The 21,789-nt window shown below is 49.2% G+C and overlaps 1 non-coding gene across 1 annotated transcript, besides 3 other annotated features; it reads right to left on the bottom strand.

The window, feature by feature from the left end:
- Window positions 7,181-7,953: an enhancer, noted in NCBI's record as "H3K4me1 hESC enhancer chr6:33961394-33962166 (GRCh37/hg19 assembly coordinates)". NCBI's record gives its function as "activates a minimal SCP1, AML or CMV promoter by ChIP-STARR-seq in primed H9 embryonic stem cells {active_cell/tissue: H9 hESC(primed)}" and the evidence as "EXISTENCE:reporter gene assay evidence [ECO:0000049][PMID:30033119]".
- Window positions 13,468-13,969: an enhancer, noted in NCBI's record as "H3K4me1 hESC enhancer chr6:33967681-33968182 (GRCh37/hg19 assembly coordinates)". NCBI's record gives its function as "activates a minimal SCP1, AML or CMV promoter by ChIP-STARR-seq in naive H9 embryonic stem cells {active_cell/tissue: H9 hESC(naive)}" and the evidence as "EXISTENCE:reporter gene assay evidence [ECO:0000049][PMID:30033119]".
- On the bottom strand, window positions 13,536-13,615 carry MIR1275 (microRNA 1275). Its single transcript, NR_031681.1, has one exon. It is a non-coding gene; the product is annotated as a microRNA 1275 (primary transcript).
- Window positions 19,708-20,590: an enhancer, noted in NCBI's record as "OCT4-NANOG-H3K27ac-H3K4me1 hESC enhancer chr6:33973921-33974803 (GRCh37/hg19 assembly coordinates)". NCBI's record gives its function as "activates a minimal SCP1, AML or CMV promoter by ChIP-STARR-seq in naive H9 embryonic stem cells {active_cell/tissue: H9 hESC(naive)}" and the evidence as "EXISTENCE:reporter gene assay evidence [ECO:0000049][PMID:30033119]".

A 21,789-nucleotide genomic window follows, 5' to 3' on the forward strand; every position in this document is an offset into this window, starting at 1 on the left:
AAACAATATACTCAGTTCATGTTAATATAAGTAATATATGTTTGTGGAAGATAACTGTTTTCAAAATCAAAAGAGAAGAGCAATATTGCTTTACAGATTTGCAAATCTCTTAAGTGTCTGGCTTAATGAAAGACAGCTAGACTCTGTTATCTGCTTCTACATTAAATCTCCTGCAATATGTTGTTTGGGTTGAAGTACATAAAGAAAATCTGGCTTTGCTTAGATATGGAGTTAGAACAGAGGAGAATTCTAATGGCCTTTTCAGTTGTTGTGGACGTTCTTCTTTGATACTACACCAAACCTCATCAAGTAGTAGATTTTTGAGGGTTACCTGCAGTCTGGAATTTAAAGCCTCATCAACAAACTTTTCGTATTCTGCTATATTAAAATCCATCCGTCTGTCTTATACTCTGAATGGATCTTTACCCAAGCATGACTTTATAACATCATGCATGCATTGATCACTTGGAAATAAAACTCTTTAAAATATTGGGAAGCTGTCAAGCTCATAGCAGCAAATAAAAGTTTTCCAAAATTCTAATTTTTGCTTGAAAACTCAAATTTTTGTCATTGGCAACAAATACTGTCAGTTGTTTTCCTTGAAGCAACATGCTCACTTCATTCATTTTTGAGAAAATGTATGCCAAATAACCAAGACTGAATAATTATAGTTGGTCTACGGTTGTTTTTCTCAAGTAAAAATTGTGTTCAATGGGGGTAAAGATGGCAATTTCAGCTCACAGCTCAAACAATCTCATGAATGCTGTTCTTTTAGACAACCATCATTCTTCAGAAATGCTTCACATGTACTTCTCATTTCTCTACACATAATACTAAAAAGACATATACTCATGGATAGAGATTTAATGAAGTTAATTATTTTGATTGGTTCATCAAGGACATTCGTAATATAACTGGCTTTTCTTTCTTGCCTCCAGGCGTGTGATGGTGAAGAACGCCATGGCTACTAGGAGGGTCTGGTGCCACCACCTCGACCCTTGCTAAGCCACAGCACTTTGAAGCAGGTAGCTTTTGCAGCATCAGTGGCAAAGATGAACAAAGTGAAAATGGCAAATAGCATCTTAGCGTTATTAAGAAACAGTTCTGACCTCAAGGCCTCCCCCTGAGAGGGTCTTAGGAACCGCCAGAGGTCCTCTGATTACACCTTGAGAACTGAGCCCCTGAAGGCAGGGACCATATAAACTTGTCCTGTGTCCTGGGGCAGAGGCGATGCCCGATACACATGCATAGAATATGAGTCAACACTGCTGTGCGCATGTCACCCTCACGGCCACTCTGGAGGCAGGCGCTTTTGTCATCAAACCCATTTCACATGTGAGGGCGCTGAAGCCCAAAGAAAGCAGCGCCTCACTCTGCTGCCTCATACTCTGTTAAAAGGAGAATCATGCCAACCTCCAGAAATGAGGCGGGAAAATGACTGCGCTCCGTGACCTGTCAATTACCCCCTGGAGACAGCCAGCAGCTGTCCTCATCCCTAGGCTGCGGTCAGAGAAACATGGACCCCGAGAGGTTAAGGGCTTGCCCAGGTCTGGAGCTCTGGTCTGTCAGGGTCCTGGACACCAGAGCTTCGGGATCAGCTGGAGAACGGCCCAGTGCTCCTGGCAGCAGGGCCCCCTCTGGCCCCGGGTACCTGGTGGCTGAACAGCCCCAGCTACCCCAGCCCCACCCCACCCAGTAATACCTCCCCTCCAAGCTCCTTCTCCTGGTCCTGGGACCCAGGCCCTGTGGACAGGTCCCATTCTGGTTGGGCTGTGTGGCCTCCCCTCCCTGGGCCACCTGGACAGTGGGGTGGTAGGTGGTGGCACAGCTTCTCTGACCCCCGCTGCTCCCTCTGGCTCGCCCATGCTGGGCCTTCCGTGTTGTCCCCAAGGCTCCCTGAGACCTGCTGACAGGCCAGTTGCCTCCGGGAAGCAGCGCAGCCAGCTGACAGAATCAGTTAACACACGAAGGCCTCTCTTCTGTTTGCTGAGGCCCCTAGAGGCCCCATGCTCATTTTTTTCCTCTCCCAGAATCTCAGAAAAGTAAATAACCACCCGAGCTGCTCTAGCGGGTAAACAGCCCAGAGTTTGCTCTCCTAATTGCCACCCCGCCCCCAGGCTGGATGCACCTGAGGGCTGACGGTTCATCTGGAATTCATTTCCCTCCATTCCCCTGCCGCCCACTGCCCACCCCACGCCCCTCCCAGAGTGCCATCAGGGTGGTGGGGGGAAAGGTGTCTGCACGAGCTACCCAGAGCATTAGGGCCAGAACCATGCTGAGAGGTTCCAGAGGCCTGAGAAGGGCAGGGCCCAAGGCTCAGAAGGAGCCAGCAGGACTGAGGGGCAGGGCTGTGGGGGGCAGATGTGACCTAGAGCCAGCCAGGACCAGAGGACCCTCTGCCAAAGGGTGGCTCCCATAGGAGCCGTACTCCATGCCATTGGCCCTGGATCTCGGCATGTTCTCTCACAGTGTGTCACTGGAGGTCACCTCCCTCAGCCTGCCCTGAGCACCTCTGCCCTGCTTTAAAACTTGTTCTGGCTCAGCCCCCAATCTGTGTCCCACCCTCCCCACCGGTGTCCACACCCTCCTTGTTCTTACCTTCCAGTCCCCGTCCCCTGTGACACTTTTCCCACCTTTGGGTCCCTCCGAGGCGTGTCTACCAACAGAAGCACTAGCAGCTCAGACCAACTCTGCTTTGCTAAGGTCTGGGGTGGGGGTGCCAGGCACAGGGCCAGACCATGGGAGCACCCTGCCCTAAGAGCCCAGGAATACAGGGAAGAGAAGCAGTCACACCATGGCTGAGGAAGGGCTCAATATGTCCCTGTGCCCCATATATCATCCTTCCCACTTTACAGGTGAGGAAACTGAGGCTGGCAAGGCTAAGGGCCTGACCTGCAGTGACACAGCCAGTGAGTATCTGGGCCGGACTGAACTCGAGACCTTTTTCATGACCTTGGGAAGGACATAGCTGCAGAGCCTGGGACACTCTGGAGGCAGCCAGGCCTGGACTCCACCCTCGTCTGAGCTATGTGGCCATGGAAGTGTCTGCTAACACCTCTGGGCCTCCGTTTCTCTCTCTCTCTCTCTCTCTCTCGCTTGCTCGCTCTCTCTCTTTTGTTTTATTTTTGAGGCAGGGTTTTGCTGTGTTTCCCAGGCTAGAGTGCAGTGGCCCAGTCAAGGCTCACTGCAGCCTCTACCTCCTCAGCTCAAGTGATCCTCCCACCTCAGCCTCCTGAGTAGCTGAGACTATAGGTGTGCGCCACCATGCCTGGATAATTTTTTGTATTTTTTGTAGAGACAGGGTGTCACTATGTTGCCCAGGCTGGTCTCAATCTCCTGGGCTCGAGCGATCCTCCTGCCTTGGTTTCCCAAAGTACTGAGATTACAGGCGTGAGCCACTGTTCCTGGCCCCCTCATTTGCTTCATCTGTAAAATGGGGACAAACAAGCCCCACCTCAGACAAATATAATGAGAGCATCTGTCATCTGATAGGTATTGAGAAAGCAGTAGCTCTATTATTATTATTATTACTACTACTACGACTAAAGTTATTATTGTTGCCAGTCTAATGACAGCCCCAAATCCAAGGATGGTTTTTAGGGAATGGATTTGCCAGACAAGCAGCCCCTCTGATGGCCCCTGGGCCCCAGAATGAGAGCTATTAGCCAAGGGTCAGACTCCTGCGACTTGGTTGGGAGCACAGAAATGTGACAACTGGGATCTGAGGCACAAGGCTGAGAGGGTGGCAGGTGTGGAATCTAACAGCTGCAAGTGAGGATGGCCTAAGAAGATTAAGATTTGGTGTGTCAACATCACCGGACATCAGCGAGAGGGCAGGAGGCTGGTGGATAGCCTGCTGCAATGCCAGATAAGAGAACTTGCCTCCAAATCCCCAGGTCCAGGGTGGGGGGCCCTGGAGGCCTAGGGGGTTACCTAGAGACACAGATGGCAGCTTGGAGCCAGGGCACAAACATAGGTTGGGGAGCTGGTCCAGTCCTGTGATGCCCGATGCTGGCAGCCCCCCGTGTGTGGGAGGTTCTGTCTTGGGCAGGAGAAGCCCCTGCCCAGATTACAGGCAGGTCTCAGAGGGTTTATTATAGTGTGGACCAGAGAGCTGCCTATGTCTCCTGGAGGGTGCCTGGGTCCCCTGGAGATTTTCAGGCTTTGTGTTCAGAAACCATGGTCATTGAACAGATATGGGATGACCACATATGGGAGGGTGGGAGCTGGGTCACTAATCTGGGATATTGGCTGCTTTGGCTTTTACGTGCAGAGAAATACACTTCTATCTTGTGTAAGCTACTGCTAATTTGAGTCTGTGCCATGTGACATCAATCCTATGTCCTAACTCACAGAACCAGCTGTGACTCCATCCCTCCACTACCGGTTGGGAAGAGCAGGCAGTCTCTGCAGCAGACCCTCTCTTTATTTATTTTACATGTAATTTTGTATTATGATTCACTTTTTTGAATAGGTAATACATGCATATAGTACAACATTTACAAGGTAGGTAAGTTTGTAATTAAAACTAGTTTGACTGGAATGCAGACTATTATTGACAGAGGCTGAAACAAGGTAGATGTTTATTTCTCTCTCACATGAAAATCTGGAGTAAGCGATCCAGACTGTCCACCCACACTTCCCTCCCCCAAGCACCAATATCATAGATCAGTGACCCATGAAGAGTTTAAGGAGTCAGGGACCTTCCAGCTCACTGTTCCACCATACCTGGGTGTGTCCCCTTCTTCATGGTCCAAGACCACAGCCATGGCAATGGGAAGAAGGGAAGATGAAGAAGGGCCAAGAGCACACCAGGTCTTTTAAGGAACGTTTTCAGAAGCTGCCACTTGGTGCATCTGTTTACACTCCGTAGACCAGAACTTAATCACAGAAACACACTGAGCTGCATGGCAGATGGGGAAATGTAGCCTTCACCTGGGCAGCCATCTTACAAAAAATGGACCAAGGATGGCCTCTTGGCAGAGATTGAAGGGGCAAAGGGGAGTTCTCTGAAGCAACGATAATGTTCTGTATCTTGATAGAGATTGAGCCAGATGCGGTGGCTCACGCCTGTAATTCCAGCACTTTGGGAGGCCAAGGTGGGCAGATCACTTGAGGTCAGGAGTTCAAGACCAGCCTGGCCAACATGGTGAAACCCTGTCTCTACTAAAAATACAAAAATAACCAGGCATGGTGGCAGGCGCCTATAATCCCAGCTACTCTGGAGGCTGAGGCAGGAGAATCGCTTGAACCCGGGAAGCAGAGGTTGCAGTGAGCTGAGATTGCACTACTGCACTCCAGCCTGGGGGACAAGATGGAGACTCTGTCTCAAAAAAAAAACAGATTGGATTACACAGGTGCATTTTTAAGAGCTCATGGAATGATCCATTTAAGATTGGTACATTCCGCTTCATGCAAGTATCTCTAAACATCTCTAAACAAACACCAAACACAAAAAAGGAACTGGAAACAAATATTGAGCTCTAGTTAACAGTGCACATGCTGAATGTTTAGGGGTGAAGTGCACTGATGTCTGCAACTTACTTTGAAATGCTTCAAAAAATAAGATGGATGGGTGGATGAGATACGTGGAACAAAGTAAATCTCATGAACTGTTCATTGTAGAATTGAGGTGATGGACAAATGGATGTGTTCTTTGTTCAACTCTTCCAACTTTTCCATTATGTTTAGAAATTTTCATAACAAAATGTTTATGGAAAATGTGTCCCCTGCCTCCATCCTATTCTCTGGCCACCCAAATCCTCCTACCAGCTTCTCGCGTGTCCCGTTGGCAATAGTCTAGTTGGCAAAGGACACACAACAGTCTTTGTCTTACCCAAACGCCAGACTGTTCCATGCTCTGTTTGTTCCTTGATTAAGAGAAACCCCTCAATTGGGTCGGGCGCAGTGCCTCACGCCTATAATCCCAGAACTTTGGGAGGCCAAGGCGGGTGGATCAACTGAGGTCAGGAGTTCGAGAAGAGCCTGGCCAACATGGTGAAAGCCCGTCTTTACTAAAAATACAAAAAACTAGCCGAGCATGATGGTGCACACTGTAATCCCAGCTACTTGGGAGGCCAAGGCAGGAGAATCGCTTGAACCCAGGAGGCGGAGTTTAGAGTGAGCCAAGATAGTGCCATTGCACTCCAGCCTGGGCAACGAGAATGAAACTCCTTCTCAAAAAAAAAAAAAAAAAAGGAAACCTCTCAGTTGAAATGCTGCCCCCTGAGCTGCCCCAAGCAATCAAAGGAGGAAGCCCCTCTGTAGACCTCCCAGCTGCCCATCAGCCCCAGACCCTCACCCTCCTGCTCATTGAGCCCCATTGAATCTAATCCCTCATCCTCCACAATCTGAGCCACATGGCAGACAGGGAAATGTAGTCTTTACCTGGGTGGCCGTCTTAGAAAAAATGGACCATGGATGGTCTCTTGGCAGAGATTCTCCAGGAAGGGGCCAGGGGAAGCTCTCCGAAGCAATGATAATTTTCTGTATCTTGATAGAGGTTGGGGCCCCCCTCCCCCGCAATCCCCTCTTCTAAGCACCTTCCTGCCACCTGAGGGCCTTATGAAACCTTGCTGGTTCCTTCCCAGTAAAGCTGTTAACCCATCTCCTGTTAATCCCTTATCCTTCCCCCTGCTTCAGGATAAATGCGCGGGAGGAATCCTCCCGTGCGCCGCCTGGGCTCTTGGTCCTCTTGGTTTCTTCTAGGTCTTGGTGCATGGGCTTCCTTGCCACCCTTTCTAGTTGGGCCTCCTGGTGACCCACTCCAGAGGAGGGAGCCATGGACTCGGACGGGGTCTGGGAGGGAGTCCTCAGGGAGGGGATGGCTTGGTGAGGTCTTAAAAGATAGGCAGGCTCTCCAGTGGAGACAGGAACTGCGTTCCAGGCTGAGTGAGTGGGAAGTGGAAGGGAGCAGCCTCCTTCGGGAAACGGTGACTGGGCTGGCGTGGCTGCAGTGTCTGCAGGGTGGGGGCCACGGGGGAAGCCAGGCTTATTAGGAGGGGTGTCAGAGTGAGGCTGGAGAGGATTGGGTCAGCCTCAGGCGCCCAGGCCTTGGTGCCTCTCTCCTCAGCGCCCAGGCATGTTGGATGCCAGAGCCAAGAGAAACAGATATTTTTAATTCTGAAAGGTGTGGCCAAATCGCCCCCCCACCCCGTCCCCCACCCCCGCCCCGCCATGGGGGCTGTGGCAGCTTCACCCTCCCTGCACAGCGAGGTTCCTGAGGCCTGCTTTGTTCACGGAGCTTCTGAACACGGCACTCAGGCGTGATGCTGGAGACCCAACCAGGTATCGATTTTTCCTCCATTGAGTTTGCAGAGAAGCTTCGCTCAATCCTCCGGTCGCTAAGGGCACCGCTCCGAAGCTCAGTCCCCCTGCCTCCTCTTCCCTTCCGCCCTTCCTCCTGCAGCACCTTCCTCTCTAGAGGCTGCAGCTTCCCCACCCCTCACAGCCTTACAGCTCTATCCTTCAAGGTTCAGCCCAGGCACCGCCTTCTCCAGGAAGCCCTACCTGGCCCTCCCGCCGTGGGCTCCATCCCCACACCTACCCTGTCATTGTTGCAGCGTGGTTTACTCGTGGGGCCCCATAATCGTGAGCTTGTTCACAGAGGAAGGAGGGATTCTCCCTGCTCCTGCATGGCCCATCTTTCCTAATTAAGTGCTGAGTTCACTGATAACTATTCAGCCAATAAACCAGTTTGCATCCTGCTGGTAAACCATTATGTCTCTATGCTTTCTTTCAAAAGAGGACACAGCTGTCACAAGCCAGAATCTAAAGCCTATGGGTGGGACAAGAAGCCAGAGTTGTTTCTAAGTACCAGATCGAGGCGAGGGGGCAGGGCAAATCCAGGGACTCACAACCTATAGATGTGACTGGCCTTACCTCTCTTATCACAAGGAGAGGAAAGAGGCAGGGAAGTCAGCACAGCACTGAGGTTCTGGGGTTGTTTGTTTCCGCAGCATAACACAGCCTATCCTGACATCCTTGGTCAGATAGGAGAACAGCCACTGTCTCGTCTTTACATAGACGAGGAGGCTCGAGGGTAGAGACACAAGGCAGCACATCCAGCCTCGCAGCACTCACCAATCAGTCATTCAACAAGTATTTATCAAGCACATACTGCGTCAGGCACGTTCTAGGCACTGAGAATACAACGATGAACAAGGCCAAAAGTCCCTGTCCTCAGGCAGCGTATAGCCTCCTGGGGGAGAGCGAGACAGGAAGCAAAAAAGCAACAGACACAGAGAATGTTTTCATACCACTTATGAAGAAAATGCAGTCAGGGGCTAGAGGCCTAGAGAGTGTGTACTATTTTAGACAGGATAGTCAGGGGAGGCCTCTCTGAGGAGGTGACATTTGTACAGAAATTAGAAGGAAGTAAAAGGGTGAGCCATGTTGGTTTCTGGAGAAAGTGGTCCAGGCAGCAGTGACAGCAAGTGCAAAGGCCCTGAGGTGGGAATCTACTTGTATCCTGAATGCTGAGGCTGGAACCAAGACCTGGGGGTCTCTCTCTCTCAATCTCCAGCAGCTAGAAAGAAGGACTATGTTGAACCAGCCTCAAGGGAAACAAGGCAGGCAGGCTGCCCTGGGGCCTCCTCCCTTTGAGTCCCCCCGACCTGCAGCCCCAGAGCTCCTATGCCAGTCCTGGCCGCGCCCCCTGGCTAACTGGTAGCCACACTGCTGCTGCCTGCCAGGAATCCATAACACTGCCTTATTTGCAGGCCAAGTCCCCTGATATGATGTGGGAGGGAGGAGAGGACTTTGAAGCTAGGTGCTCCACCCCCGGGCCCTGGGAGGTGCTGGTTAATGAGGTCTCTGCAGCAAGCTGGGAGCATGGCCAAAGGCGCTGCAGAGGGCTACAGGAGGGGAAGCCCCAGGGACTTCTAAAATGATGTCCCTCGGAGGCCAGCCATCTGAGAAAGACCTTTCCCAAGCAGGCCACCAGGGCCAGGTTAATCACAAGGCCACAGAGCCAGGCTGCCTGGGTTGAATTCTGGCTCTGTCGCCCACTAACTGCCCACCATGAGCAAGTGAGTTACCCTGTAGGTGATAAGATGGTGATGATAATAACAGGTTAGTGTGAGGATTAAATGGGATTAGATCTGCAAGGTGCTTAGCCCATGACAAGTGCTATAAAAGTGTTTTTTAAATAAAAAGGAAAGTGCTTAGTAAAGTGTATTTTAAAATCACTCTCTCCCACGAAATTGTATTTAAAATGTTCAGTAGGAAAAGGGTTTGCCCCCTTTAAGAATAATCTGGCAAGAAACTGCTTCTGTCAGCAAAAATCAATGATTGGGAAACAAAGCAGGAGTCGCCAGGGGTTTAATTAGTTCCTTTTAGCACTTAGAGCTCATCCGGAAGTCTGTGCAAATAGGAAGAGTGATCAGCCTGGGACCGGACAGCCCCTCTGGTCTGGGGCACCAACCACTTGTCTAGTCCAGTTTTTTGGACACACATCACCTTTCTTTTCTCGTCTCTTTGTTACTAAGGCGCACTTTCAGTTTGCCCTTAAAAGGGACAAAAGTGTGCCTGGCACAGAGGGCCTCATGGGTCTGGCCCTCTCTGGTTCTGTGTCCACATTGGTGAGATCAGTCTTCCCTTCAGGGCAAAACAAATGCCACTTTTATTTATTGAGCGCCTAATAGGTGCCCTGCAATGTACATTCTTCATTCCTGACATGTGTTCTTCATGCTGAGACCACACTCCCATTGCACAACTAGGAAAACTGAAGCTCAGGGAGGTTAGATGACTGCTCTGCACAACTGCTGGCTTAGAGGTCTCCTCCCACCAAGCAGGCTTTCCTCAGAAGGGGCGCTGGGGGTAGGACTGCGGCTGGGGGCCTCGTTGACCCCTTGCCTTCTTAGCTCCTCAGATCTCTCTACCTGCCCCCTCCCTCTCTCGTGCCTTGTGCCTGAGTTTCCCCCTGAAGTGCTGCAGCTGGATAGTGAACTCCCTACAGCAGTCAAAGGAATGGAAGTTAATGCCTACCCAGTCCCGGAGTGCAGTATGGTTTAGAAGATGAGCCAAGATGCCAGGAGAAATTAGGGATGGACTTCGTAGATGAAGAGATGTACTGTGTTCCTGGACTGGAAGACTCAGTATTGGTAGGATGTCAATTCTCCCCAAAATGATCTGTAGATTCAACACAATCCCAATCACAATGCCAGTAGGTTTCTGTGGAAATTGACAAGCCTATTTATTCTAAGATTTATGTAAAAATGGGAAGAACCTAAAATAGCCCAGACAATCAGGAAGAACAAAGATGAACGACTTAAATTATCTGATTTTAAAACTTTCTATAAACTACAGCAATTAAGACACTGTGATATTGGCTTAAGGGTAGACAAATGGACCAATAAGAGAGGTTATAGAGAATCCAAAAATAGACCCGTATATGTGGGTCAATTGATTTGCAACAAAGACACCACTGCAACTTTTCCATCCATGATGCTGGGTCAGCTGGATGAATTGGATCATAGAGAAAAAAAAGAAGCTTGAGACCACCTCATAGCATAAATAACAATTCTAAGTAGATCATAGATCTAAATATGAATGGTAAAACAATAAGGCATCTAGACAAAGATTATAAGAGAATATTTTCATGAACTTGGGGTAGGGAAACATTTTTGAAACACAGAAAATACTACAGAGGAAACAATTGATAAATTGGGGTTCATTGAAATGTAAAGCATCTATTCATCAAAAGATACCACGAAGAGAGCAAAAAGACAAGCCACAGAGTGGGAGAAGATATCTACCTACATGTGGATCTGACAAAAACTCATATCCAGAATATATAAAGAGTTTCTACAAATCAAAAAGGAAAAGACAACTCACTCAAAAATGACCAAAAGACTTTAGGAGGCACACCATAAAGGAAGGTATCCAAATTTTCAATAAGCTATGAAAAAATGCTCAACATCATTGATCACAAATGATGGAAAAAGCAAACTAAGGCCAAAATAAGAGACCACAATACAGCCATTAGATTGACTAAAAAGAGAAAGACTGACAACACCAAGTACTGGTGATGATGTAGAGCAAGTAGAACTCTTTTACACTGCTAGGGGAATATAAATTGATGCAACCACCTGGGCTACTTGCCTCTGTCTAGTAAACCTAAACATATGTCAAATACATGGCCCAGCAATTCCATTCCTAGACATTACTCAAGAGAATTTGAAACATACGTTTACAAAAAGACATATGAAAGAATGTTCACCACAACTTTACTCAGAACAGGCCAAAACTGGGAACCTAAATCTGTATCAAAGGGAGATGAAATAATCATACAATGGAGTACTACTCAGCAATAAAAATAAACAAACTACTCATATATATAATGACATGGATGCATCTCACAAATATTATAATGAAGCAATCCAGACACAAAATCATACATACTGTATGTACCGTATGGCTCAATTCATGTTAAGTTCAAAAACAGGCAAAAATAATCTGTGGTGATAGAAGTCAGAATGGTGGTTACCTCTTAAGGAGGTTAGGGTTTTGTTGTTGTTATTGTTTTTGTTTTCTGAGATGATCTCATTCTGTTGACCAGGGTAAAGTGCAATAGCATGATTCTAGCTCACACTGCAGCCTCTACCTCCCAGGCTCAAGGGACCCTCCTGCCTCAGCCTCCCGAATAGCTGTGACTACAGGTGTGTTACATCCAGGTTCTTGGCATTTTGAACAAATAATTGGACAACATGCACAAACAAAGCAAGGAAAGAATGAAGCAAGGAAAGCAGAGATTTACTAAAACAAAAGTACACTCCACAGTGTACTCGAGTGGGACTGGGCTCGAGCAGGCAGCTCAAGAGTGCTGATTACAGAATTATCTGGGGTTTAAATACCCTCTAGAGGTTTCCCATTGGTTACTTGGTGTACACCCTATGTAAATAAAGTAGTGGCCCACAACCAGTCTGATTAAAGTAAAGTTACAAAGTTATACTCCTATGCATATGAAGACTAGGCCCACGACCACTCTGACTGGGTGTGGGAGGGGACCAATCAGAGGTACTTTCCATTTTTCATCTGCCATGCAGAAAAGGATGGGCGGTTGCAAAGGGAAGTAGCCTCTGGTCCTTTTGTTACTTGGGTGTGGAAAGTTGGAGTTTTCCTTATGATTTAGTTCTAGGATATCAGCATGAATTGGCCTTAGGTTTCCTGCCTCCAGACCCTACTCTCCTGCCTCAGGTGCATGCCATGATTCCCCACTAATGTTTTAATTTTTTTGTAGAGACAAGGTCTCACTATGTTGCCCAGGCTAGTTTTGAACTCCTGGGCTCAAACAATCCTCCTAACTCAGCCTCCCAACATGCTAGGTTTACAGATGTGAGCCACCGCACCCAACCAGGGAGATTAATTATTGACTAGGCGGGGGCATGAGGAAACTTTCTGAAATTCTGGAAATGTTCTATACTGTGATTTGAATAATGGTTACATGGGTGTATACATGTGTAAAAATTCATGAGGCGGTAGACTTTATATTTGTGCACTTTACTGTAATTCATGAGGCGGTAGACTTTATATTTGTGCACTTTACTGTAAAATGTGTATAACTTTTTTTTTTTTTTTGAAACAGTGTCTTGCTCTGGAGTGCAGCGGTGTGATCATGGCTCAGTGCAGCGTTGACTTCCTGACTTCAGCCTCCCAAGTAGCTGGGACTGCAGGCGTGCACCATCATGACACTAATTTTTGTATTTTTGGTAGAGATGGGGTTTTGCCATGTTGCTCAGGCTGGTTTCAAACTCCTGAGCTCAATCGATTTGCCTGGCTTGGCCTCCCACAGTGGTGGGATTACAGGTGTGAGCCACTGTGCCTGGTCGATACGTTACAATTTGATTTTTTAAAATAATAATTAAAAAGAAAGGAGAGAAGCTATAGATGCTAAGGCAACCGGGGCTCAGGTTCTCTTCTTCAAAGCTCAGGGAAGCCCAGGCAAACCTGAGAGCAGATGAGGGTATATGCCTTTCATGAGTCCTTAGCCTGTCCCCCACTCATCCTCCATTCACAAGAAATGGTGAACGGCTCTGAAATCGGAGAAAGTCTACCAAGTGTTCCATCTGGTGCACAGCTCTGGGCTATCTGATTCTGAGGGGCTTCTGCCTTTCATTGCCTCTGAGCTCTTTTATAACTTGGTAAGTTGCACAAAACTGAGGGTAAAGTAAATAGTTCTTGTCCATAGAAATGTCCCTGAAGTTTGTCTGATAGAAGTGCCGTTGACTATTGGCTTGTAGATATGGCCTGTTTTTCATCTATTTGCAACTTCATTTCCTGGTGGCCTATAATGGATCTACTCTTCGGACTCTCCTTTGAACTGGTTGTAACATCTTACTGGTTCCCTCATTACCTAGTAAGCTAAAGTCTTTGACATGTATTAGTTTTCTACTTACATGAAAGTCATGATCTCTTTAACATTCTCTTACCCCAATTCCCTTTCTACCACCTTCTCTAGATGTCTCAATGTCCATTTCACACCAGGGTCAGCAACTCCGCAGCCACCGCATGGGGGCTACTCACAGAAGCTGAGTTCCCTCTGCCTTGGGGAAAATAAGTTTGGCATACTTACAGACACAAGACAGCCTCTCCCCCACACCCTTTCTCACAGAGGAGTCCTTAGATGGTGATCTTGGTGAAGACCAAAGACTTGTGGGTCCTGGGTAAAAACTTGGTGAGGTATTTCTGCCCATCCCAACATCTTTGTCCCGCCAAGCTGGAGGTCCCATGGTGAGCCCCAGAGGGAAGGAAGGGGAGGGGGCTGCGAGAGGAGGCGAAGAGGGAAGGCGACTCACCCTGTTCTTGGTTCAAAGAGCTGGGTGTGTGGAGACAGAAGAAGTGGAACTGACCCTCCTGTTGAGGCAGAGCCTGGGGAGCCCTGCTGGGCTTGGGGAGGCCCTGAGGCCCAAGCACTTTCCTGAACCTTCAAAGGCAGCTTTTTTTCAAGGAGGGACACTGGGCAATTGCTGTGCCAGGCTGAGCACACAAAATCAATGGTGCCTGCTAATGAAGGGGCCGCCGCCACCAGGGGTGCTGGCCTGGGGTGCTGGACTGCCACCAGGGTCCTGCCCTGGGCACTCCATGTCTCTCCAGCTCCCGAAACTGCCTCTTCCAAAACCCAGGCGAAGTCCATCATCCCTCCTTCCATCCCCACTTCTCCCAGACCTACGTGCCCACTGAGGGGCTCTCTGGAGACCAGAGCAATACCCAGAGACTTCAGAGGCAGTGAGAGGGCTTGAGGGCAGAACTGAGGGAGCACAGGGGGCTGAGGGTGTGACAGTCAGGAGGCAGAGAGTCGGAGGCAGAGAGTAGCTGTGGACAGGAACAGGAGGTCACAGCCCTGCCCCCACACATGTCCTGCTCCCCAAAGACTAGAACACAGAAGGAAGGCCCTAGAGAAACACAGAAGGAAACCCCTAGAGACTTTTGCCTGCCTTGTCCTTTTGGCCAAAGAGTAATTGGAAGGAGAAGCTGCAAGAGGCCAGGACCTCCTGGGCTGAGGCTGCTCTCAGAGGATAGAGGAAAAAGGAGAGACGAAGGCTGGGGATAGGGCCTTCCTCCTCCCCTAAAACTACCACATAAGGATCATTTGGCTGGGCACAGTAGCTCAGACCTGTAATCCCAGCACTTTGGGAGGCCAAGGCAGGAGGATCACTTGAGCCCAAGAGTTCAAGACCAGCCTGGACAACATGGTAAATCCCATCTCTACAGAAAATATACACAAAAATTAGCCGGGCATGGTGGCACACACCTGTAGTCCCAGCTACTAGGGAGGCTGAGGTGGGAGGATCGCTTGAGCCCACGAGGTCAAGACTGCAGTGAGCTGTGATCCCACCACTGCTGCACTCCAGCCTGAGCAACAGAGGCTCTGTCAAAAAAAAAAAAAAAAAAAAAGCCGACATGCATGAAGACACAGCTAGTAAGTGATGGAGACAGGATTCAGACTCAAGTAGCCAGCTTGGCCTACTTTCTGATTTCTGTCATTTGAGAATGTGGGGAACCTCTATCATCACTGAATGTTCCACAAGTATTTACGTAGGATCTTTGGCCTTCACCAAGATCACAATCTAGGGGCTCCTCTGTTAGGAAGGATGTAGGGGAGAGGCTGCCTCAAGTCGTGCTTGTCTCACATTGTGTCTATAAACATGCAAAACTTGTTTCCCCCAAGCAACAGAGGGAGAGTTGAGAATCTTTCTATGCTGTCTCAAGCATGGCTCTCCCCTCAGCCTCACCCTAATCCTGCAGGGAGGTATTGGTATTGCTTTTAGAGAGGACAAAATGAGGACCGAGAGCAGAAGTGACTTGCTCAAGGTCTCATGGCAAGGAGAGGGGCAGACCCGGGATTTGAACCCGGGGCACGATGGGGACCTTTCAAACCCCAGGGCCACGCAATGACCACATCTGGCCGGGCAGGAAGGAGGTGGTTTGAAATCAAAGGTGGGGGGCAGTTCAATCGATAAATCAAGCCGCCTCCCCCTCGCCCTCCAACTGGTTTGCACACTTGTCCAGGGAGGGTTCAAGAAGAGTTTACAAGCTGCGTGATGGGAAGAGGCTGCGTGATGGGAAGAGGCAAGCTAACTAACCCTCGCGGGTGTGGACGAGGGCCACGACCACGGGATGAAGAGAGCTAGAGGGGTCCTGGAGCTGAGGGGCCTTTCTGCAGGGTCTGGGAGCGGGCTTCCAGAGTGGGGCGGGCTGGCTTCCGCGGTCTCCATGGCGACGCGAGGGCGCTGGGAGAGGCCTCTCCGGATAGATCTAGCTCCAGTCAGACTCAATCCCGAGTGAAATGGATTTTTTAATAAATCTATTAGCTGCTTTGAAAACGCAAATTGCGTTCAGGAGAGACATCAGCCGCCATAAGAAAACAATTTGACGTCTGAGGCCCTCGGGGGGAAGGGGACGCCCCAGCGCAGGGTACCCCCCACCAAGCCTGAGCCTAGCCTTGGTGAGGCGAAGAGAGGGTGGCCTCTCTCCAGGGCCTTTACGCCTCGCCCGTCCCCAGGGTTCGTGGATTTAGCTGGAGTTGTGCGCCAGCTCTTCTACAGAATTGAGCAAACTGCGGCCCATAGGGAAGCCAGGTCTCCTGAGGGGCACAATCCCGGAAGGCTTCCTGAAGGAGGTAGGATTCTGAGGGGCCTTTGAAGAGGTACACTCAGCAAATCCTGGACTCAGGTAAAATATAAGACCCAGCCAGCTTTTGCCCAGAGCTTTGCAATTTATAAACGACTCTCTGGTTCGCTCTTAGTCCTCTTCATGATGATAGGGGCGGAGTAATTAGGAGCCCATTTTACAGTTGAGGAAACGGAGACTGGGGGGCCTTAAGGATAAAAGGCTTGTTGCCATGGTCATTCAGGCAGGGTCAAGGCCAGAATTCCCAGTTTCCCTTAGGGGAAGGAGCTGGAGGAGCCGGCCTGGGCCACAGGGCTTGGGGAGCTGGGGCCCGAGTTGGGATGGTTGGGGCTGGGGAGTTGGGCTGGCCTCTCTATTGAGGCTAAGGAGGGCTCTGGAGGAGGTGGGAGATAAGAGGAAGAGCTGGGGTCTGGCGCTTAGGTACACAATTACTTTCTTCCGTTATCATCATGTCTGTCTGGAGCCTTCTTTGCATATGCAAATGAGTGCATCCTCCCACAATTACACAGTACTCAGGAGCAAATTACCTTCTTGCTGTTTACTTTCAGCGTCCTTAATTAATCCGGTTATTAGACGATTAATAAAGCTTGTTTGGTGAGAAATTCATAGCAAGAATGGACAAGGGGGTGTGTACGCATAAGGTGTGGGACCAGGGGAGGTGCTGTCTTTACCCAGAAATAGAGACAGTCCCTGAGTTTCCCCTCAGCACTCTCTCCTTCTCAGCCTCTCCCCTGTCGTCCCCAATTTGTTGCACACACCCTAGCCCCACCCCACCTTTCCCCATCCCGCCATTCCCAGCTTCCTCTTACAGCCCATCACCTCCTCCATGAAGCCTCTGTGGATGGGAAGGCAGCCCTTAGTGTTCTCCAGAGTCCCTTGAGGGGGGACTAGAGTCCCAAGCAAGATCAGAGGTCTAGGGTCAGCCCCAGGCCTCCCACTGCCTTTAGGGTCAATTCCAAGTCCCCCAACTCCCACTGCTCTCCCCAGACTGTAGCCAGGCAGTGCTGCAAAGGCAGCCCTCACCCTCTCCAATCAAAAGGAACCCCCAACAGCCCGTGTTCCAAAGGGATGTGAGAGGTTCCCTCTGTGGATGTGAAACCACCAGGCCCCATTTGAGGGATCATTAAGATGATATACATTTTTAATTTTAATAGTAATGGTCTGAGCCCCCACCTGCTCATGCTAGCAGTAATCCAGCATTTCTCCTAGGGTCCCCTTCACTAGGTCATTTCTGGGCACCCCAGAACAGTGTTCATGTCCCATAGATCCATCCTGGGGTCATTGTAATCTGACTTTTTTCTATCCACCTGCTTTTAAGATCTTTTTAGGTTTCTGCAGTTTCACTATGATGTTTGTAGGTCTGGGTTTCTCCTTATTTACTCTGCTCAGATCTTTATATTTCCTTCCCAGGATTTATCTTATCATTTCTGAAAAATTTCTAATCAACACATTGTTAAATATTGCCTCTCCCATTCTCTCAGTGATCTCCTCTGGAATTCCTAGATGACATTTGTTCAACTCCCCTTTCTGTATTCCATATTTTTATTCCTGTTGTTCATATTTTTCTATCTGTGCTGCATTATAGCTAATGATTTCTTCATATCTGTTTTCCAGTTCACTAATTATCTCTTCAGGTGTATCTAATATGCTGTCTAACCCATCTATTGGGTTTTAAATTTCAATATTATCATTTTCATTTCTGAGTCTATTTGTTCATTTTCATAATTTGCTTGGTTATCCTGATAGCATCTTTATTTCTTTAAACATTTTAAATATGATATTTAAAAAAGAAATATTCTGGGCCAGATGCAGTTGGCTCATGCCTATAACACCAGCACTTTGGGAGGCTGAGGTGGGAGGATCACTTGAGGTCATGAGTTTGAGACCACCAACATAATGAGACATAGTGAGACCTTGTCTCTACAAAAAAAGAAAAAAAAAACCCAGCCAAGCACAGTGATGTGAGCCTGTCATCCTAGCTGCTCAGGAAGCTGAGGTAAGAGGATCACTTGAACCCAGAAGGTAGAGGCTTCAGTGAGCCAAGATCACATCATCATTGCACTCCACCCTGGGTGACAGATGGAGACCTTGTCTCTAAAATACACACACACACACATATACATATATATACTCTGGATCTGATTATTCCAATATCTTAAGTCTTGAAGGTCTACTTCTGCCATTTGTGGTTTTTACTGACTTCCTTGTGATCAGTTGTTTCCCTGTATGCTTTGTAATTCTGTATTGTAAACTTGAGCTTAGCTGGTCTCTATCCATGGGAATCTTGTACAGCAAAAGTTGAAGGTGTGTCCCTCCCAAGAGAATTTGCTTTTGCTTCTGCCAGCCAGGTGGCTAGGTGCTACTAACACACTTGGAGTTAGTTCCACCACCTGGCATTTCCTGGAACACACATAACGCAAACATTTACCTATACCCCTGTGTGGTCAGGCTTGTGATTACAAAATTTAAAGAAGGCTTTTATTTTTTCCTACAAAGAGCACATGCCAAAATAGACAAATGTTCTTATCATTTCTCTTTGCCACCGAATGGATGTTTTTCTCTATCCTTCCACAAAAAGTGTAGACTTTTGAAAGTCTTAGTTTTTTTGTGGAGCTCTCAATTACAACTGCCCACTGCCCTGGGCCCACAGCCCTTCTTCCTTGTGGGGCCCTTTACAACCAAGCCTCTAGGCCTGTGGTTCTCCACCTGGACGATTTTGTCCCCCAGGAGACATTTGGCAAAGTCTGGCAACATTTCTGATTGTCACACTAGAGGAGGAAAGTGCTACGGGCATCTGGTGGGTGAGGCCAGGGGTGCTGCTAGACATCCTACAATGCATGGGACAGCCCCTCACAACAAAGAATAATCAGGCCCAAAGTGCCCATCATGCTGCTGTTGGGAAACCTGGATCTGGTTCTTGGAGAAGCATGATCTGCAAACCACCTGAGGCCTCCCAACAGCTTCAGAGTCCCCTACACTCAGGCTTCCAGCACCCTCTTTATGTTTGACACCCTGAAGGTTTTCCTTGTATTCATTCATTCATTTTACAAACCCAGCCATGTATTGAAAAAGAATGGTTGTTTCATTTTGTGGAGCACTTCTGGGTGTTCTGTGGATGGCGATTCCTCAAGGCATCCACTGTCCCTCGTGCCTGCATCCTTCTCTCTAATGTTTACTGCTCCAGCTCGCCTCTCTCTGCCTGGTAACCACCTTTTTTATTTCACCCCCTCTCCCTGCACCAGTGTGCAGCTGGAAGCCCAGAGCATGTGCTACTGAAGGTTTGGGAGACAATCAGCAGGGTCCTGAGAGTGTGTGACCTGCCTGCCAGCAGCAGTTGCTCTTGAGGCTCACAAACCCACAAATCCCACCCTCCTTGTGGCCCCTGCCAGATTCCATGAAGCCAAGGCCTGATTCCACAACTTCCTGCCTCTCCAGATCTCCAGGTCTCTTCACCTCCCTGGCTCACAGCCTCAGGCTGTCCTCTCCTGCACCCCCCTCCCTACTCATGGCTCTAGACCCAAGCGATGCCTGCAGCAGGAATACTCATTGCTTCCTGCAGAGTCTGTGTCAGCCTGGTTCACTCTGGGCCACACAACGTGCTCAGTACTGACTTGTTGAATGAATAAATGGATGATTGAACGAATGAATGAATGAATGAGGACTGCCTCTGGGACTAGGCAAGGCAATCATAATAACTGTAAAATACATCTCCAGAGTCTGGTTGTTCAACATCAAAGTGACACCATGTTGGGACAGCCACAGTTCAGTCTAAATGTGCATTTAGAGAAAAGCATTTCCCTAATGCTTCAAGGGCACAGCCGGGATAGAGACGCTCCCAATTTACATGACTAAACAGCACACTCGACGCGGCAAACTGCAGCATCTGCATTCCAATTTGTGGTGGATGACTTTTCAGTTTCCTCTGCAAACAAATGGGGGTGGGCTCTGGCTTGCTTGTGTGGAACTAAAGGGCCCCACCTGGAGTGAAGAAAAAGCAAACAGAATCTGTTCCAAAGTAGTTCATTCTGCACCTCCAGAAACACAGACTTTCAGTAACCCCAGTTGGCCTCTCTCTCCATAAAACAAAGCAAGGTCTCTGTCCTTCTAATGGCGCCTAGAATTTCAGGCATTTGCTTCATTCATTCATTCATTCATTCATTCATTTAATAAATATTTATAAAACATCTTCCATGTGCCAGGCACGGTTTCAGGATTTGGAAGTTCAGTAGAAAGCAGGCCGGGTGCGGTGGCTCATACCTGTAATCCCAGCACTTTCAGAGGCTGAGGTAGGCGGATCACCTGAGGTCAGGAGTTCGAGACCAGCCTGGCCAACATGGTGAAACTCCATCTCTACTAAAAATACAAAAAAATTAGCCGGGTGTCGTGCCACATGCCTGTAATCCCAGTTACTTAGGAGGCTGAGGCAGGAGAATTGCTTGAACCCAGGAGGCAGAGGTTGCAGTGAGCCAAGATGGTGCCTCTGCACTCCAACCTGGGTGATGAAGCCAGACTCCATCTCAAAAAAGAAAGAAAGAAAGAAAAGAAAACAGATCAAAGTTCCTACCTGTGCAGTGCTAAGTTCTGCTGGGGGAGGGCGACACAGTAACTACTGTCAGGGAGTGATGAAATCTAGGAGGGAAGATGAAGCCATAGGTGGCTGCAGGGATGCGGGGTGGGTGCTGTCTAAGGTGGGCCAGTCAGGAAATGCCTCTCTGTGAAGGCAACTTAGCTCAGGAGAGCCTGCCAGAATTGGGGGGAAGTGCGTTCCCTGTTGAAGGAACAGCAGCCGAGTGTTTGGAAAGAGTGAGGAGGCCCAAGTGGCTGGAGTGAGAAAGAGAAAAAAGGAAGATGAGGCTGGAGAAATGCCCGGGGACTGGGCCCTGCAGTCTCATAGACTGGGTTTAAGGTCTCATAGACTGCCATGGAGGGTCTTCAGCAGCAGTGTGGAAGGATCCATTGACATTTCACAGGATCCCTCTGACTGCTGTGTGGGGGTCTGACTGACGGCCAAGAGCTGAAGCGGGGATCCGCTGGGAGGGCCCCTCAGAACCCAGGCTAAGGATGGCAGTGATGGGACCGTGTGGAGGGAAGCTGTTGGATTCTGGAGGTGTCCTAAGGCAAGGCAAGGGCAGCTGCAGACACATGGATGAGGAGGGTGAGGAAGCGGGAGGAGCCAAGGTTGGCCCCAAGGTTTCTGCCCATGAGGGTGGTGGGGCCTTTCACTGAGAGCAGGAGGGGAGGGAGGAGGAGGAAAAGGGGGTGGAGGGTCACCTGGAGGTGCCTGGCAGAGCTGGGGGTAGGCAGTGGGCCACACGGGTCAAGTTCAGGTGCAAGGACAGGGCTGGAGAGGCACACTTCGGAGTTGGAACCACAGGATCTGATGAGATCCCCCAGGTAGCAAGCGCAGGAGAAGCAAAGGATTCTGTGGTCTGAGCCCAGAGACACAAACATTTCACAGGTCACTAAGGGTGTGTGTCAGGCCCCATCCTGCTTAAAGCCTCCCAGCGGCCTTCCAGTGGATGCCTAGGTCCCGGCCTCTCCACCCTCACTTCACTCCGCCCTCCACCCCAATCCCTCTGTGCTGCTTCACGGGCCTCCTTCAATTTCTTAAACTTGCCAGACCAGCCCCCTTCCCACCCCAGGGCCTAGCACATGCTA

This window comes from Homo sapiens, chromosome 6, assembly GCF_000001405.40.
Source record: "Homo sapiens chromosome 6, GRCh38.p14 Primary Assembly".
NCBI lineage: Eukaryota > Metazoa > Chordata > Mammalia > Primates > Hominidae > Homo > Homo sapiens.